We start from the raw sequence: 19195 nt of genomic DNA, 5'->3' as shown, positions 1-19195 counted from the left end.
CACATGAAAAGATACTCGACATCATTACTCATCAGGGAAATGCAAACCCAAACCACAATGAAATATTACTTCACAGTTGCTAGAATGGCCATAATAAAAAATACAGATAAAAACAAGAATTGGTGAGGATGTAGAGAAACTGAAACATTGCTCATGGAAATGTAAAATGGTGCAGTTGCTTTGGCAAGTTTCTTTAAAAAGTTAAGCAGAATTTTCATATGACCCAGCAACTGCACTCCTAGGCATATACTCAAGAGAAGTGAAAACATATGTTCAAACAAAAACTTGTACATGAATTGTCATAGTACCATTATTTATAATATTCAAACAGTGGAAACAATCCAAATGCCTATCAACTGATGAATGGATAAACAAAATGTATATACATAAAATGGAATATTATATGTTCATTAAAAGGAATGAAGGCAAGGCGCAGTGGTTCATGCCTGTAATCCCAGTATTTTGGGAGGGTGAGGTGAGAGGACTGTTTGAGCCAGGAGTTTTGAGACCAGCCTGGCTAACACAGTGAGACCCTGTCTCTATTAAAAAAAAAAAAAAATAGCTGGGTATGGTGGCATGTGCCTGTGATCCTAGCTACTTGGGAGGCTGAGGTGGGAGGATTGTGTGAGCCTGGGATGTCAAGGCTGCAGTGAGATGTGATCATGCCACTGTACTCCAGCCTGGGCAACAGCAAGACCCTGTCTCAAAAAAGAAAAAAAAGGAATGAAGTACTGGTACATGGTACAACATGGATGAATCTTGAAAACATGCTCAATGAAAGAAACCAGTCACAAAAGGCCATACATTATATAATTCCATTTATACAAAGTGTCCATAATAGATAAATTCATAGAGACAAAAAGCAGATTTGTGGTTATTAGGAGAGGAGAGAATAGGGGAGTGACTGCCTAATGAATATGAGATATTTTTGGAGGGTGATGAAAATGTTCTGGAATTAGATAGTAGTGATGGGGCCAGGTGAGGTGGCTCATGCCTGTAATCCCAGCACTTTAGGAGGCCAAGGTAGGTGGACAACCTGAGGTCAGGAGTTCAAGACCAGCCTGGCCAACATGGTGAAACTCAGTCCCTATTAAAAATACAAAAATTAGCTGGGCGCAGTGGTGCACACCTGTAATCCCAGCTACTTGGGAGACTGAGGAAAGAGAATCACTTGAACCCAGGAGGTAGAGGTTGAAGTGAGCCGAGATTGCACCACTGCACTTCAGCCTGGGCAACAAAGTGAGACTCTGTCTCAAAAAAAAAAAAAAAAACACACCAAAGATAGTAGTGATGGTTATACAACCTTGTAAACATACTTTTTAAAACTCCAAATGAATTGTACATTTTTAAATGGTGAATTTGGCCAGGCACGGTGGCTCACACCTATAATCCCAGCACTTTGGGAGGCCAAGGTGGGTGGATCACTTGAAGTCAGGAGTTTGAGACCAGCCTGGCCAACATGGTGAAACCCTGTCTACTAAAAATACAAAAATTAGCCGGTGGTGGTGCATGCCTGTAGTCCCAGCTACTCGGGAGGCTGAGGCAAGAGAATCACTTGAATCTGGGAGGCGGATGTTGCAGTGAGCCAAGATTGCGCCACTGCACTCCAGCCTGGGCTACAGAGAGAGACTCTGTCTCAAAAAAAAAAAAAATTAAATAAATATATAAATAAAATGATGAATTTTATGGCATGTAAACTACATTTCAATACAAATAGCAAAAGATTTGAAGAGATACTTCACCAAAGAGATTATATAGATGGCAGATAAGCACATAAAATATGTTTAACATTAATTAGGGAAATGCAAATTAAAACCATGGTGACAAGAGGAACCCAAAGAGACATGATGACTAAATGTAATATAGTGCTGGGATGGAATCCTGGAACAAGAAAAGGACTATAGCCAAAAACTTAAGGGAAGCTGAATAATGTATGGACCTTAGTTAATAATAATGTACTAACATTGGTTCACCAATTGAGACATGTGGACCATACTAGTATAAGATGTTGAAAAGAGTTAGTTTTGGGGGATGGTAGAACTATTCTGTATCTTGTGATGCATCTATACATATGTTAAAATTCATAGAAATGTACAATTGACATTTACTGAATGTCAATTAAAAAAATAAAATTTAAAAAACAACATGGAGGAACTAGACAGAATTCAAGAGCCCGTAGAACCTGGAGATTTGACCCCAGAAAAAAGAGAAGTGCACTGAATGAGATCCATGTTTCCAAAGTTTTCTTCTTCTTCTTCTTCTTTTTTTTTTTTTATTTATTGAGATGGAGTCTTGCTCTGTCGCCCAGGCTGGAGTGCAGTGGCCCAACCTCGGCTCACCGCAAGCTCTGCCTCCTGGGTTCAAGCGATTCTCCTGCCTCAAAGTAGCTGGGACTACAGGCGCCCGCCACCACACCCAGCTAATTTTTTGTATTTTTAGTACAGACGGGGTTTCACCATGTTAGCCAGGATGGTCTGGATCTCCTGACCTCATGATCCACCCACCTCAGCCTCCCAAAGTGCTGGGATTACAGGTATGAGCCACCACGCCCGGCCAAAGTTTCCTTCTTAGGGACACCCCAGTTTACACACTGTGAGATGCTAGAACTCATGCACAAAGCTATAGACTTCTCAGCTTAAGATATTGGTGGAGAGGCCAGGCACGGTGGCTCATGCTTGTAATCTCAGCACTTTGGAAGGCTGAGGTGGGTGGATCACGAGGTCAAGAGATTGAGACTATCCTGGCCAACATGGTGAAATCTCGTCTCTACTAAAAATACAAAAATTAGCCGGGCATGGTGGCACATGCCTGTAGTCCCAGCTACTCGGGAGGCTGAGGCAAGAGAATTGCTTGAACCTGGGAGGCGGAGGTTGCAGTGAGCCAAGATCATGCCGCTGCACTCCAGCCTGGCTACAGAGCGAGACTCCGTCAAACAAAAACAAAAACAAAAACATATATATATATGGCTGGGTGCGGTGGCTCACACCTGTAATCCCAGCACTTTGGGAGTCCCAGGCGGGTGGATCACGAGGTCAGGAGATGGAGACCATCCTGGCTAACACGGTGAAACCCCTTCTCTACTAAAAATACAAAAAACTAGCCAGGCGTGGAGGCAGGCGCCTGTAGTCCCAGCTGCTCGGGAGGCTTAGGCAGGAGAATGGCGTGAACCTGGGAGGCGGAGCTTGCAGTGAACCGAGACCGCGCCACTGCACTCCAGCCTGGGTGACAGAGTGAGACTCCATCTCAAAAAAAAAAAAAAAAGATATTGGTCGAGAAAGTTCAGGGTTTCTAGAGCAACTGCAAATTGATGGAGGATATCCCTGAAAGGAGGAATCTTCAGAGACAAGATTCCCAAGATCAATGCATGAAATGTCTTCAAATTCTTGGATAACCCCTTACTACACGTCCATGAAGTGAAACTCCAAGGAGCTCAGTAGAAAGCAGTAGTTGAAAGGCAGAAGGAAAAGGGCAGATATTTCAGTTGCTGCATACTCCAAGGGAGGCAGAATTTGTGGTTCAATTTTCAGAAATTTAAAGGGGCTTGGCAAATGCCTTGGACTGTCTACTGAAATCCCATAGAAGTCACACCTTAAAAGACTATATCCCAGGATGAAGGAATTCATCATAATAATGGGGGTAAAACTTTTAATAGAATCATCATAAAAAAGAGTTAAATTAGGATTCCACAAGTTTGAGGCTTGCTAGTACAAAAATAAACATTCTTCAGGGGAAGCTAAAAGAATCCAGAATCTCTACACTGTATCATACTCAATGTTCATTATACTATTTTTTGGTGGGGGATGGGGGGCTGGAGTCCAGTGGCGTGCTCTTGGCTCACTGCAGCCTCCACCTCCCGGGGTCAAACGATTCTCCTACATCTGCCTCCCGAATAACTAGGATTACATGCGTGTGCCACCATGCCTAGCAAACTTTTATATTTTTAGTATGGACGGGGTTTCACCATGCTGGCCATGCTGGTCTCAAACTGCTGACCTTGAGATCCACCTGCCTCGGCCTCCCAAAGTGCTAGGATTACAGGCGAGAGCCACCTCGCCTAGCCACAATTTTTTTAAATCCTAGGCAAGAAGAAAGGAGAAGGAGAAGAAGAAGAAGAAGAAGAAGAAGAAGGAGAAGAAGAAGAAGGAGAAGAAGAAGAAGAAGAAGAAGAAGAAGAAGAAGAAGAAGAAGAAGAAGAGGAAGAGGAAGAGGAAGAAGAGGGGCAGGGGGAGGGGAGGGGGAGGGGGAGGGGAGGAAGAGGAAGAGGAAGAAAAGATAAAAACAGAAAGAAAGAAAATGTAGGCTGGGTGCAGTGGCTCACAACTGTAATCCCAGTACGTTGGGAGGCCAAGGTGGGCGGATCACTTGAAGCCATGAGTTCGAGACCAGCCAGGCCAACATGGCAAAACCCCATCTCTACTAAAAATACAAAAATTAGCTGGGCGTGGTGGCTCATACCTGTAATCCCAGCTACTTGGGAGGCTGAGGCACGAGAATCACTTGAGCCCGGGAGGCCAAGGTTGCAGTGAGCCGAGATCACACCATTGCACTCCAGCCTGGTTGACAGAGGGAGACTCTGTCTCAAAATAAAAGAAAAAGAAAAAAGAAAGAAAATGTAATTCAACAATAAAAATGTCAATGGAAATAGATACCAAGATCACCCAAATGTTGGGGAAAAAAACTTTGAGGCAGATATGGATATTTACAAAAGACTTTAAAGAAGATAGTGATAATGAACACATGGATAGAGAGTTTTAGCAGAGAAAAGAAAATTTGAAAAAATAGAAATTCTAGACCTAAAAATAAATAAAATAATATATTCAATGTGCGAGCTTAACAAGCAAATTGGGGGTGTCAGAAGAATGGGTCAGTGAAATCAAAGAAATATTGAGACACATCTTTCTCTGAAAAAAATTGACCTATCGAACAATACTAAAGTAGTGGTATTTATTGGAGTTCTAGAAGAAGATGGGAAAGAAAATGGGGCAGAAAAAAACTTTAATGAAATAATGGCCCCAAATACTCAAATTTGGTAAGAGATAAATTTACGGATTCAAAAATCTCAGGGAACCACAGATAAATATGAAGGAAACCACTCCTATTCACATCATAATGAAACTACTGAAAACAAAGATAAAGAGAAAATTTTGAAAGCAGCCAAAGATAACACATGACAATTTGGAGAACAACAACTTGAAGGATCATTGACTTCTCACCTGAAACTATGAAGTACAGATATACTGGAGAAAAATCTTTAAAAGTGCTGAAAGAAAAAGGACAGTTAATACAGAGTTCTATGTCCAATAGGATGATAAATATAAAATAAAGGTATTTTCGGGTAAAACTAAGAAAATTCATTGCCAGCAGATCTACACCACAAGAAGTGCTGAAGGAAATTTTTCAGGCTAAGGAGAAATGCTATCAGAGAAAATCTTAGACCTTCAAGAATGAATGAAATCTTAGATTCGAGAATGAATGAAGGGGATCAGAAATGGTAAATACATGAGGAAAAGCAAAATACTTTTTTATTCTCACTCTCTTTAAAATGCACAGGACAGCTTAAAGCAAAAAGTGTAACATTTCTGGGGTTTATAATATATGTAGTTATAACACATATGACAAATACAGCATAAAAGATGGGGCAGGAGATGGTAGTAAGTGGACCTATACAGTTGCAAGGCTTTTATGTTTTATGTGAAGTCATACAATAATATCTCTAAGTAGACTGTGAAAAGTTAGGTAGTTACATCACAATCTCTAGAGAAACCACTAATATAAGACAAAGAGGTAGAGCTAAATGTCAATAGATAATTAAAATGGAATTCTTTTTTTTTTTTTTTTTGAGACAGGATCTCTCTCAGTTGCCCAGGCTGGAGTGTAGTGGCAGGAACCTGACGTGGCTCACTGCAGCCTCAACATCCTGGGCTCAAGTGATCCTCTCACCTCAACCTCCCAAGTAGCTGAGATGATAGGTGTGTGCCACCACACTTGGCTAATTTTTGAAATTTTTTGTCAAGGTGGGGTCTCACCATGTTGCCCAGGCTGGTCTCCAACTCCTGAGCTCAAGTGATCCTCCCTGCCCCACTTCCCAAAGTCCTGGGATTATAAGCATGAACCACCATACCCAGCCAGAATTATTTTAAAAAAAATTCAAATATGCCAAAAGAAGACAAGAAAGGAAGAACCAAGAAACAAATATCAGAAGGCAAAAGCTGAAAACAAATAAATAATGATAGACCTAAATTCAACCATATCAATTATTACATTAAATATCTATGGACTACACAGCCCAATTAAAAGGCAGAGATTGGCAGGGTGCAGTGGCTCATGCATATAATCCCAGCACTTTGGGAGGCCAAGGCAGGAGGATTGCTTTAGCCCAGGAGTTCAAGTCTAGCCTGGGTAGCATAGCAAGACCCCATCTCTACTAAAAATAAAAAAATGAAAAAATTAGCTGGGCATGGTGGCATTTGCCTGTAGTCCCAGCTGCTTGGGAGGCTGAGGTGGCAGGATCAGTTGAGCCCAGGAATTTGAGGCTGCAGTGCATTATGATCATGCCACTGCACACACTAGTCTGGGTGACAGAGCAAAAAACTCTCTGTTAAAAAAACAAAAACAAACAAACAAACAAAACACAGAGATTAACAAAATGAAAAAAGCAAGAGATACATTTTAAACATAAAGACATAAATAGATTGACAGTAAATGGATGGTAAAAGATATAGATGCAAATAGTGAGCATAATATCAGATAAAATAGACTTCAAAGCAAAAAGTGTTAGCAGAGATACAGAGGAACATTCATAATGATAAAAGACAACAATCATAAAATATTTAAGGCCGGGCGCGGTGGCTCACGCCTGTAATCCTAGCACTTTGGGAGACCGAGGCAGGCAGATCACAAGGTCAGGAGATCGAGACCATCCTAACACGGTGAAACTCCATCTCTACTGAAAATACAGAAAAATTAGCTGGGCGTGGTGGTGAGCTCCTGTAGTCCCAGCTACTCAGGAGGCTGAGGCAGGAGAATGGCATGAACCTGGGAGGCAGAGCTTGCAGTGAGCCGAGATTGGGCCACTGCACTCCAGCCTGGGTGACAGAGCGAAGACTCCATCTCAAAAAAAAAAAAAAAAAAAAATTAACATAACAATTTAATCTCAAAATCCACAGAGCAAAATTTGACAGAATTAATGGGAGAAATAGATGATGCCACAATCATATTTGAAAGTCTTAACATCCCTCTCTTTTTTTTTTTTTTTTAAGATGGAGTCTTGCTCTGTTGCCTAGGCTGGGGTGCAGTGGCATGATCTCAGCTCACTGCAACCTCCGTCTCCCGAGTTCAAGCAGTTCTCTGCTTCAGCCTCCTGAATAGCTGTGATTACAGTCACCCGCCACCACGCCCGGCTAATTTTTGTATTTTTGTGTTTTTTATTTTATTTTATTTTTGAGAAGGAGTATCGGGGGATATTCAGCCAGATATTGGGTGAAATTCACCCCTGATATTTCACGTAGGTTCTTTTCTGTGTTCCCTAAGTGTCGGCCAGTCTGAGAAATAAAGGGACAAGGTACAAAAGAGAGAAATTTTAAAGCTGGATGTCTGGGAGAGACATCACATGTTGGCAGGTTCCGTGATGCCCCCCTGAGCAAGTTTTTGTTAGTGATTTTCAAAAGGGGAGGGAGTGTACGAATAGGGTGTGGGTCACAGAGATCACATGCTTCACAAGGTAATAGAATATCACAAGGCAAATGGAGGCAGGGTGAGATCACAGGACTACAGGACCGGGGTGAAATTAAAATTGCTAATGAAGTTTCAGGCACACATTGTCATTGATAACATCTTATCAGGAGACAGGGTTTGAGAGCAGACCACCAGTCTGACCAAAAATTTATTAGGTGGGAATTTCCTCGTCCTAATAAGCCTGGGAGTGCTAGGGGAGACTGGGGCTTATTTCATCCCTACAGCTCAACCATAAAAGATGGCCGCCCCCCGAAGTGGCCATTTCAGAGGCCTACCCTCAGGGACGCATTTTCTTTCTCAGGGATGTTCCTTGCTGAGAAAAAGAATTCAGTGATATTTCTCCCATTTGCTTTTGAAAGAAGAGAAATATGGCTCTGTTCCACCTGGCTCACCGGCGGTCAGAGTTTAAGGTTATCTCTCTTGTTCCCTGAACATTGCTGTTATCCTGTTCTTTTTTCAAGGTGCCCAGATTTCATATTGTTCAAACACACATGCTCTACAATTTGTGCAGTTAATGCAATCATCACAGGGTCCTGAGGTGACATACATCCTCCTCAGCTTAAGAGACGACAGGATTAAGAGATTAAAGACAGGCATAGGAAATCACAAGGGTATTGATTGGGGAAGTGATAAGTGTCCATGAAATCTTCACAATTTATGTTTAGAGATTGCAGTAAAGACAGGCATAAGAAATTATAAAAGTATTAATTTGGGGAACTAATAAATGTCCATGAAATCTTCACAATCCATGTTCTTCTGCCATGGCTTCAGCCTGTCCCTCAGTTCGGGTCCCTGACTTCCCACAACAAAGGAGTCTCGCTCTGTTGCCCAGGCTGGAGTGCAGTGGTGGCACAATCTCAGCTCACTGCAACCTCTGCCTCCTGGGTTCAAGCAATTCTCTGCCTCAGCTTCCTGAGTAGCTGGGATTACAGGCACCCACCACCATGCCCAGCTAATTTTCGTATTTTTAGTAGAGACAGGGTTTCACCATCTTGGCCAGGCTGGTCTTGAACTCCTGACCTTGTGATCCACCTGCCTCGGCCTCCCAAAGTGCTGAGATTACAGGCGTGAGCCATGGCACACGGCCACCATCCCTCTTTTAACAACTGACAGAGAAACTGTGCAAAAAATCAGTGAAGTCATAGATGATCTGAACATTATCAACTACCGTGACCTAATTGATATTTATAGTATACCCTACTCTGCAAAATAAACATTTTCAATTACATATGGTATGTTCACGAGAGTAGACCATATGTTACTCCATAAAGCAAGCCTCAGTAAATTTAAAGGGATTTAAATCATTCACTGTTCTCTGACCACAGTCTGGGGATGTGGCAGGCATCTGAGCACATTGGAGGTCAGTGGAAGGAGAAGAGCCAGGTCAGAGAGGAGGCACAAGCAGGTCTGGGTAGGACTGAACACCAGGAGGATTGAGGAGGGGGTGGTGGGGGCACCAATTACCCACCTGGACCCCAGCCTCAGAGCTGCTAGGAGGAAGGAGTGCTGCTGTCAGACTGGCCTGGGCAATGATGATGAACAGGGCCCCAGGGCTTCCCTCTTGGTCCCTTTATCTGCCTGAAGGATGGACAGCTTGTCCTTCCTTCTCTAGCCACAGAAGAAGAACATCTAGCAAGGTGTGAGTGTGGCCACTGCAAGGTGAGCTAATTGGGCTGGGGGCTCAGATTCAAGTGGGATTGCTCTGTGCCAAGAGGGAAGGGATAACCAAAGGCTCTGTATGGGAAGGAAGACGGGCTGAAGCAAGCTGTGCTATGGAACTGCCTACTCCCTGATGCTTGTTCCCGCTGAAGGTGGGCGGCTAGGAGCAGTGATCCCAAAGCCCTGCCTTCCACAGAGGCACACTTTGTCCAAGGTTAAACTGAAGGGTGAGGAGAGGAGCTGATAATTTAGGTTTGTCACTAAATTGGGTTGACCCCACTGGTTGGGGTCCTGCAGGGGCCCGGTTCTGGGGAAAGGCCCTGGGCTTCAGAAAGACTGCCTGTCACCCTCACACCCAGCTGCAGGACCACCCTCATTACTTTGCTCTGTTGAAAGCCTTAGTCAGGGTGAGGGGAGGAAGAGCTCAGGCCCCCAGCAAGAAGTCCCCATGGGGTGGGTGGCATGATCAGGCCAGGTGCCCCAGGAGTGGGAGTCTCTGTTCCCTGGGCTCTTACAGCTCCAGGGCCTTGCCCCCTTTTCTTTCTTACAAAGAAAACGGTGGCTTGACTCAGCAAAAACTAAGAAGGGTAGCTGTTTCTCCAGGTCAGGAAGGATACGGGGGTCAGCACTTCCTGGCAGTTGAGTCTGGGGAAGGGGGACCTCACATGCCAGCAGCGTGAGAAAGATGATACTGTACAGTGGTGAAGGACACGGGCACTGGAGCCAGACCACTTGGCCTGAATACTGGTTGTGCCGCTTACCAGCTTGTAACCTCTCCAAGCCTCAGTTTCCCCATCTGTAAAATGGGAAGTATAACATCATCTACTTCAAGTCATTATTGTTAGGGCTAAATGATGCTTTAGCACAGCTTTTGGCAATCAATCATTATGGATGGAGCACCATGTGTGGACCTACATCCCCTATCTGAAGGAGCATGTCCTCATCAGACCTTGACTCAAAGTCTAGCGCCTAGCTGATGGTGGCTGAAGTGCCTCCCCACCCCCACCAGCACTGGGGTACTTTCAGAGGGAGAGTCGGGGTGGGGCCCTGCTCCCCAGGGCCTTTCCATCTAGGTGATTCCCTGAGAGCTCTGGGGCAGGGGTCACAGGGAGGCCGCCAGCCTCTGAGGGCCCATTGTTCTTCTTCTCTGAGCTGGGAAAGATGTATTCTCCCCACCCTTCCTCTCCACAACCACATCTGCATGCTTAGGGGCAGACTTTAGATAAACAAACCTTGCCAGCTAGCCTTACCCAGCTCACAGAGAGCTCTTACTGCCTCACAATGGCCCTGTGATGTCCAGCCCTTGGAGCTTATTGTCCCTAGTTCACAGGAAGTTGAGGCCCAGAGAGAGGAAGGGGCTGGTTTGATGTCCCATATAGAGAGGTGGCACAGCCAGGGCTGGGTATCCCAGTCCCGTGTCGTGTCCAGCATTTTAGTGCAGACTCACATGCACATCAAATGCACAACCATGCAATGACAGACAAGCAGCTCCACAGGAGGAGTGCACAACCAGAGGGGAGAGGAGAGAGCCTGGACAGCCTCTGTCCTCACCTCCTCAGTGGCCATGTGGTGACGGCTGGGTTTTTTATTTTTTTCTCCCTAGATGAGCTTCACATCTCAGGTAACTGGAGAAGTCTTCAGCTTGTCTTGTCCTCTCCACAGGTGGGGTGCCCACTGCTTCAACAGGGGCCAGAACAGTCTGCCCTCTTCCATAGCTGTAAACCTCTGCTTGGCCCAGCAGGAGTGAGGGTAGAGGGGAGTAGGGCTCAAGGTGCCCTCGCTACCTAGTAGATGGTAGGAGAGCATAACCAAAAGCCAAAGAGCTGTTTACATGACTGGGTTCTCCCTGTGGCCTTCTGAGATTGCAGGAGATGGAAAGGGGGAGACCGGATCCTAGGGGAACCCAATATTCAGGTTTTCCTGGGTTCCTGAGATGCAAGATTTCCAATTTTAAGACATGGGAAGTTGTAGGCAGACTGGGATGAGTTGGTCACCTGGGTCTTCCATAGCTCCCAGTCTGAGAAAATGAGACTCACCCAGTAATAAGCAGAAGATTTGGCTGGGTGAGGTGGCTCATGCCTGTAATCCCAGCACTTTGGGAGGCCGAGACAGGCAGATCACAAGGTCAGGAGTTTGAGACCAGCCTGGCCAAGATGGTGAAACCCCATCTCTACTAAAGATATAAAAATTAGCCGGGCGTGGTGGTGGGTGCCTGTAGTCCCAGCTACTCGGGAGGCTGAGGCAGGAAAATCACTTGAACCCGGGAAGCGGAGGTTGCAGTGAGCCGAGATCGTGCCACTGCACTCCAGCCTGAAGACAGAGCAAGGCTCCATCTTAAAAAAAAAAATGCAGAAGATACTATGGAATGGGCCAGGAGAAAAAGGAAGGATCAGGGATGGGAGAGACACAGTGAGCCACACAGTAGCTGGCATTCTGCATGGTGGGCCTGGGCAGCCTGGCTCTTCATTTGCATATGGGTCTTTCCCACCCCAGTCAAATCTGCTGGAGCCAATTCTGCTTCCTTCCAACAAAGATGCCCAGACACCTGGCGGTAGTGTGTTACTTCCTGCTCCCAGCTCCTCTAACACCCCTGGAGAGCTCCATGCCCACAGGTCTTACCTTCACCCACTTTCCCAGGCTCTTAGATCAAACATCAGGCACAGTGCAGGCAATGGGGCCATCCTCCCAAGTCCCAAAAGCCTTCTGTTTCCAGTAGAGATGGGAGAAGCCTGAACTAAGCAGGTTTCTCACTTCCTTATGGAGGAAGAAGAGCTAAGAGAGGTGACTGATTTTAGTACAAAGGGCACAGGGCACAGAAACATGCAGGAATACATTAGCTGCGTGCACTCCAGTGATACATAGCCTCTGTAAACCTGTTTCCTTATCCTGAAAATGGGGACATTGTTCCTATCTTGTGATTGTATTAAGGATCAAATGAGCAGCTGCTCAACAGAGGTTTCTGGAGAGGTCCTTCTCCACACAGACTTGGGAGGAGATGCTTGTCCTAGGTCCAAATCTCATCCAGGTTTCCCGATTTTTTCAGGTCTTCTGCTCAACTCAGGTACCAGCTGACACCCACCCAGTCCCTGGTGTTGCCTTCAGGAGCAGTGGCAAGATGGGAGCTGGTTGGGGAAGGGGATCCTAGCGCAGGGGGGAGGAGGAGAGAATGGAATGGCTGGACTTTGAGATGAGAAGACAGTTGGATGGGGAGGAGGCACCATTTGCTGGAACTGAAGGGTTCTCAGTAGGGGCTCGAGGCAGGATGTATCTGTGATATCTGGACCTCTGGAGTCCCTTAAGCACAAGGAGGCAAGTGTGTGGCAGTGAAGACATTCTGCCTTGGGCCCAAGCCCAAGACAGGTCTCCCTGAGCCCTGGGCAGACCATCCGACCTATGGTCATTGGAAGGACCCACCTCCTCCCTATCCCAGGCCTGTGTAAACGCCAGGAAGGCAGGTCCCTTTCTCCATGCAGGCCCTGACTGGGGCAGTCAGCACCATTAAGTTCTTCCTCTCTGAGGCTTTCCTGGGTCAACACTTCGAGGCTGTGTAGTTGGAGGGCAGGGAGCCTGAGCCAGGAGACGTCTTCCTGTTCAGGCTGATTCCCCCCACCTGACGCTGGTGCGGGGCCCACGTTGGCATATACTGTGGCCATGGAGAGATCATCCACTTTGAGGGTGAGTGCCTCCAGCAGAAACACAGGCCCAAGTCTGCGGAGAGGCTGCCCAGCCAAGCCACGCCCCACCAGTGAGCTGGCTACTCGGGGATAAAGACTGAAGTCCCAGGCTGGGGGTACGTTTCTCTGAAAATGGGGTTTGGGCACTCAGGGTCCCTGAGGTCTCAGGAAATGGGGGTGCGGGATCACAGGGCATAGGACCTAAGCCTGGCTCTGATCCGCACCCCTCTGGCGATCCCCGCAGGCAAGAACTCAGGAGGCTGTGGGCTCCTGGGAAGTTTCTGGGCTCCTGGAAAGGCATCGTATCCAAACAGGGGCAGCGCCCGCTGCTGCGCTCCTGCTGGCGCGTGCTGCGCAGAGTGAGCGAAGCGACGGACGCGGACCCACCATCCTATCACTCCATGCGCAGCAACTGTGTGCACTTTGCACTGTGTCTGCTCGTCCCAGGTCCCAGCCTGGACCCCCGGCAAATAGACGGGAGCTCCAGCAGGTCGGTGAGCGTGGCCCAGCTACCTGCACAGGACCCATCCCACCTCCTGAGCAGACTAGCCAAAGCGCCTTATAAACGCGCAACTGCAAAATCCAGGCCCTTCTCTTCCCACTCCCCACCCAGGCCAGTTTTCTCCAAATTCAAGATCCACTTTTCTCTGGCAGGCACAAAGCCACCGGAACCAAGCGGACCCACCCACTTGTCTAGGTTATCCCAACAGAACCTTCTCATTACCCCAATAGAACCTTACCCCAGTAGAATTACCCCCAATAGAACTTTTCTACTGAGCCAAGCTCCACCTTTCTGGGCCCCACTCCTTCCCAGGTAGGCCCGCCAATTCTGCCCATGGAGACTTCGGGATGCTAGTTACAGACCAAGACTCAGGCCTTAGGAACTCCTCCAGTCCCCATGCCCAGCTAAAAGACTCCAGCCACCTCAACTGATGCCCAACTGGATCCTACCTCTTCCCCCAGCCCAATTCACTACTTTCCATCGGATCCAAGCCTTCCTTCCTTGGGCCTAGGGGTCACTCGGGCTCGGGAGCTGAACTGGAGGGCTCACATGACTCAGGAGCCCTGGTGGTCACACCAGACCCTTCTCTTCCTTTTCAGGTGTCAATGGACGTGGACGTGTCCCCGGATTAAGCATGACCTTGGCCCTCCTGGGTGGACGTGGAGGCTTCAGAAAGATTCATTAAACTACTTTCCAAAGCTTAATTAGATGTTCACCGTCCTCTGTATCCTGTTTCCCATCTCTCTAAGCCCCCAAGGGCTCCTCGGAGCTCCCTGACCTTAATTCCTTAAATTCCGCCACCTCCAGGAAGCTCCTCGGCTTCCTGCTGCCAAGCCAGATTTTGTAGGAAAGGTGGGGCGGGAAAGGGAGCGTCCTTAGGTATCTGAGGCCGGTCCTCGGGTGCGGTGACCCCTTCCCGCTCTAGAACCCCCAGCCTGCGGGCACAGCCTTCTTTCCAGTTCCCGCTTTCCCTCCACGGCGTGGGTGAGCATCCGCGCGTGCGTCTGGGGAGAGCGGAGCCCCAGAGGCCCGTCCCGCCGAGGCCAGGTGGTCGGGGGTGGGGGCAGCTATTCCACATCCCCTGCAAGACGGTCCCAGCGTCCGTCCAGCAGACTCGCCCACCTTTAGATCTGGAGACGAGCCAAGTCGCTTTAAAGGGCAGAAGACGCCCTGAAGAGGGCATTTCCTAGGGATGGGCGGGGCCAGGCCCTGACGCACCGCCCCTGTCGCCTCCTCGCGGACACGCCCTCCGCTCGGCTGGCGCCGGTGCCTTTAAGACCTCAGCGCGCGGCCCTGATTGAGAAATCCGCGCGCAGCCTCCGCCGCTGCACACTGCAGCCTCTGCTGAACCCCTGCCGCGCCGCCGCCTTCGCCAGCCCGGACCGGACCGGCCCGCCTTCCCTTCCTCCGCTCCAGCCGGCCTCCGGCCCCGCAACCTCCTCCTCGGCGAAGTCTCCCTGGCCGCCCCATGTCGGCCGCCCCCGCCTACAGCGAAGACAAGGGCGGCTCCGCTGGCCCCGGGGAGCCCGAGTACGGCCACGACCCCGCGAGCGGCGGCATCTTCTCCTCCGACTACAAGCGGTGAGGGAGCCCGCCAGGAAGCTCGCGGGAGGGTTGGGGCCGGGGACCGGGCGAGGCGCGCGGGCACCATGGACAGCGCCCGGCCCCAGCGCCGGCCCCGCCCCGGCCGCGCCGACCGGAAGCCCGCCCGGCCCCCTCCTGCGGCCTGGAGCCCCGGCCCAGCGCGGGCAGCGCTGGCACCCCGGCTCCAGGGGCCGGCCTAGGACGCGGAGGGGGGCAGATAGGGGCTGGCGGGGGATGGGCCAGCTCAGTTTCGAGAGGAGAAACCCTCCGGTTCCAGGTGTTTCTCCGGTTTGCGGCGTTGCGTTAGGGGTTCCCTTCCTTTTTCGTGCTAGGCGGGTTGGCTTCCCAAAAATGTGGGGGAGGGGTCTGAGTCAGCGAACTTGAGCTTGAGCCTGGGGCCTCTTCAGGAAGGCGGGCCCTGGATGTACTTGCACAGCCTCCCAGCTTGGCCCTGCTGCAAATTCATTTCCCCTCCCTCTGGTCCCCATCTCCATCTGACCCTCACATCCCTGCTCCTGGCATTGCCCCTGTAGTTCAGCTCCACCTTCACACCCTCCCCCACCTTTGATTCGTTCGTTTGTTTCTTCATTTGTTTATTCGTAAATTCTGCAACAAGCATTTATGAAAAGCCAACTGTGTCGAGTCCTGAACTAGTCACGGAATACAACTGTGAACATGAGACCCTTCTTGTCCTCACGATGCTCTAGAGGGGAGCACAGATGAAGAAGCAGTCAGGGACAGTCGAGTGTAATGGGGGCAGTGGGAGCAGGGAGAGGACCTAGTCTCTGGCGCCGGAGAGAAGGAAGACAGGAGCGTGAGGTATGTTCCAGGCAGAGGAAAGGGCTTTCAGGAAGGTTGAGAGCCAGGCCACAATCTGTGTGAGCCACTGGACTGACCAGAAAAGAGGGTGGGGAGGACTCCTGAAGGATTCTAAGCAGGCGACATAATCAGATTTATATTTTAGAAGGACGTCAGGCTGCTGCATTGTGGAGAAGAGATTGGAGGTGGGCCAGATTGAACAAGAGACAAGGGAGGTGGGTCTTGAAGTTCACAGGCCTGGCATGATTGTGGCCTAGACCAGGGGAGAGGCAGAAGATTTGAGGCTGTGGAAGAGGTGGAAGCCTCAGACCTGATGATTAATTGGATATTGGGTGGGGGTTTAGAGGGACAGGGGGAGAAGATGAGGATTTTCACGCACGTCCATGTGAAGAGACCACCAAACAGGCTTTGAACAATAAAGCTTTTTAATCACTTGGGTGCAGGCCAGCTGAGTCCGAAAAAAGAGTCAGCGAAGGGAAATGGGGTGGGACCGTTTTACAGGATTTGGGTAGGTAGTGGAAAATTACAGTCAAAGGGGGTTGTTCTCTGGCGGTGGGGGGACACAAGGTGCTCAGTGGGGGAGCTTTTGAGCCAGGATGAGCCAGGAGAAGGAATTTCACAAGATAATGTCATCAGTTAAGGCAGGCACAGGCCATTTTCACTCTTCAGTTACTTCAGGCCATCTGGATGTATACGTGCAGGTCACAGGGGATATCATGGCTTAGCTTGGGCTCAGAGGCCTGACATTCCTGTCTTCTTTTATTAATAAGAAAAATAACATAAAATAGTGTTGAAGTGTTGGGGCAGCAAACATTTTGGCGGGGGGTGGTATGGAGAGATACTGCTTCTCCATAGCCTTGAAGGGCTGCTTCGAGCGGGATTGGGGTGGCGTGGGAACCTAGAGTGGGAGAGATTAAGCTGAAGGCAGATTCTGTGGTAAGGGATGATATTGTGGGGTTGTTAGAAGAAACATTTGTTGTATAGGATTATTGGTGATGGCCTGGATACGGTTTTGTATGAATTGAAAAACTAAATGGAATAAGAGAAGGAGAAAAACAGGTATTAAAGGACTAAGAATTGGGAGGACCCAGGACATCCAATTAGAGAGTGCCCAAGGAGGTTCAGCATAGCCCTGCCAGCAAAGATTATTTATTTACTTTAAGAGGGAGTTAAGACTGGCAGTTTGGGGATAGCACCAGGAGATATCAGCTGTAATGGTTTGGAGAAACAGTGTAAACCGGCAGTGTAAACAAGAGCAGGGCATGTATGAGTAGTTGAGTATGGTGAATAGGAGTATGACTAGTCAGAAGATAGTAGGGATGACAAGTTTTCTGGGGCACAGTCCAAGTTGGTCTGGTGTCTGGAATGAGACTGGGGCCTAATAAAAAGGAGCATCTATACAGGAGCTTGAATGGGCTGTACCCTGCAGCATTCCGAGGACAGGCCCAAATTCTGAGAAGGGCAAGTGGTAAAAGTATTGTCAGTCCTTTTTAAGTTGGTGGCTGAGCTTGGTGAGGTGTGTTTTTAAAAGACCATTAGTCCGTTCTACCTTTTCTGAAGATTGAGGATGGTAAGGGGTATGAAGGTTTCACTGAATACCAGGAGCCTGAGAAACTGCTTGGGTGATTTGACCAGTAAAGGCTGGTCTGTTATTGGACTATATAGAGGCGGGAAGGCCAAACTGAGGAATTATGTCTGACAGAAGGGAAGAAATGACCGCAGTGGCCTTCTCAGACCCTGTGGGAAAGGCCTCTACCCATCCAGTGAAAGTATCTACCCAGACCAAGACGTATTTTAGTTTCCTGACTCGGGGCATGTGAGTAAAGTCAATTTGCCAGTCCTGGGCAGAGGCAAATCCCCAGGCTTGATGTGTAGGGAAGGGAGGGGGCCTGAACAATCCCTGAGGAGTAGTAGAATAGCAGATGGAACACTGAGAAGTGATTTCCTTGAGGATAGATTTCCACAATGGAAAGGAAATGAGAGGTTCTAAGAGGCAGGCTAGCGGCTTGTAACCTACATGGAAGAGGTTATGAAATGACGAAAGAATAGAATGGGCCTGTGAGGCTAGAAGGAGATATTTTCCTTGGTCTGAGAACCATTTGCCTTGTGTGGGAAGAGATTCATAGGTGTAAGTTTCATTGGGGGAGTAGGTAGGAGTGACTGATGAGAAGGAGAAAAACTGGCCATGAGGGACAGAAGTTGGAATGCTAGCTGCTTTTTTAGCTACCTTATCAGCATAAGTGTTGCCCTGAGCGATGGGATCTGATGCCTTTTGATGGCCCTTGCAGTGAATGACTCCAGCTTCCTTTGGAAGTAAAGCGGCCTTGAGAAGAGTTTTTATTAAAGAGGAATTAATGATGGAGGACCCTTGTGTAATGAGGAAAGCTTTTTGCCCATATAACAGCATGGAGGTACAGGATATGGAAGGCATATTTAGAGTCAGTATAAATATTGACACATAGTCCTTTTGCAAGACTGAGGGCTCGAGTTAAGGCAATGAGTTAAGCTTTCTGAGAGGTAGTGGAGGGGGGCAGAAAGTATATGCGTCAGGTGTGAGGAAGAAAATAGATTTTGGAAGTTATGAGAACTGTAGAGAGTGAGTTGAGCATAGTTTGTGATTTTGAGGGCCTCTGAAAGTATTAAAGCAGCGGCAGCCGCTGCACGCAGACATGAGGGCTAGGCCAAAACAGTAAGGTCAAGTTGTTCGGACAGAAAGGCTACAGGGCGTGGTCCCAGCTCTTGTGTAAGAATTCCAACCGCACAGCCCTGCACTTTGGCTGTGTGTGATGAAAAAGGGTTGGGATGAATTAGGGAGACCTAGTGTGAGAGCAGCTTCTACGGCTGTTTTTAAGGAATGGAAAGGAGTGGCAAAAGGATTTAGGATCTGTGGGGTCAGCTAGGTTTGCTTTTGTGAGTTTATATAATGGTTTAGTCAGGATGGTAAAACTAGGTATCCAAAGGTGGAAGTACCTAACCATCCCTTGAAAGGAAAGGAGTTGTTGCTTTGTAGAAGGGATTGGGGTTCGGGAGATTAGCCGGACATGATCAGCAGGGAGAGCACGTGTGTTTTCATGAGAACTATGCCAAGATAGGTAATGGATGAGGAAGAAATTTGGGCTTGACTGAAGTAATGGGGGCTGTCCGTGAAGCCTTGCGGCAGTACAGCCTAGGTAGTTTGCTGAGCCTGATGGGTGTCAGGGACAGTCCAAGTGAAAGCGAAGAG

General features: G+C 48.3%; 1 protein-coding gene and 1 pseudogene across 5 annotated transcripts in view, besides 2 other annotated features; both read left to right on the top strand.

Moving 5' to 3' along the window:
- On the top strand, positions 10751-14273 carry LOC338963 (epididymal protein pseudogene; annotated as a pseudogene). The gene is made up of 4 exons (NR_034139.1): positions 10751-11014; positions 12437-13183; positions 13312-13557; positions 14169-14273. The product of NR_034139.1 is annotated as an epididymal protein pseudogene (transcript).
- Positions 14816-14865: a silencer, noted in NCBI's record as "silent region_6753". NCBI's record gives its function as "represses an Ori minimal core promoter by ATAC-STARR-seq in GM12878 lymphoblastoid cells {active_cell/tissue: GM12878}" and the evidence as "EXISTENCE:reporter gene assay evidence [ECO:0000049][PMID:35858748]".
- Positions 14869-19195, top strand: part of AP3B2 (adaptor related protein complex 3 subunit beta 2) — a 50595-nt gene continuing 46268 nt past the window's right edge. For all 4 annotated transcript variants that reach the window (NM_001278511.2, NM_004644.5, NM_001278512.2 and 1 more), the window contains exon 1: positions 14869-15150. In NM_001278511.2, coding sequence (NP_001265440.1) covers positions 15038-15150 — 113 coding nt within the window. In that variant the 5' untranslated portion in view covers positions 14869-15037. The remainder of the gene's footprint in view (positions 15151-19195) is intronic.
- Positions 15086-15345: a silencer, noted in NCBI's record as "silent region_6752". NCBI's record gives its function as "represses an Ori minimal core promoter by ATAC-STARR-seq in GM12878 lymphoblastoid cells {active_cell/tissue: GM12878}" and the evidence as "EXISTENCE:reporter gene assay evidence [ECO:0000049][PMID:35858748]".

This window comes from Homo sapiens, chromosome 15 (assembly GCF_000001405.40).
Source record: "Homo sapiens chromosome 15, GRCh38.p14 Primary Assembly".
NCBI lineage: Eukaryota > Metazoa > Chordata > Mammalia > Primates > Hominidae > Homo > Homo sapiens.
This window is presented reverse-complemented; position numbering and strand designations above follow the sequence as displayed.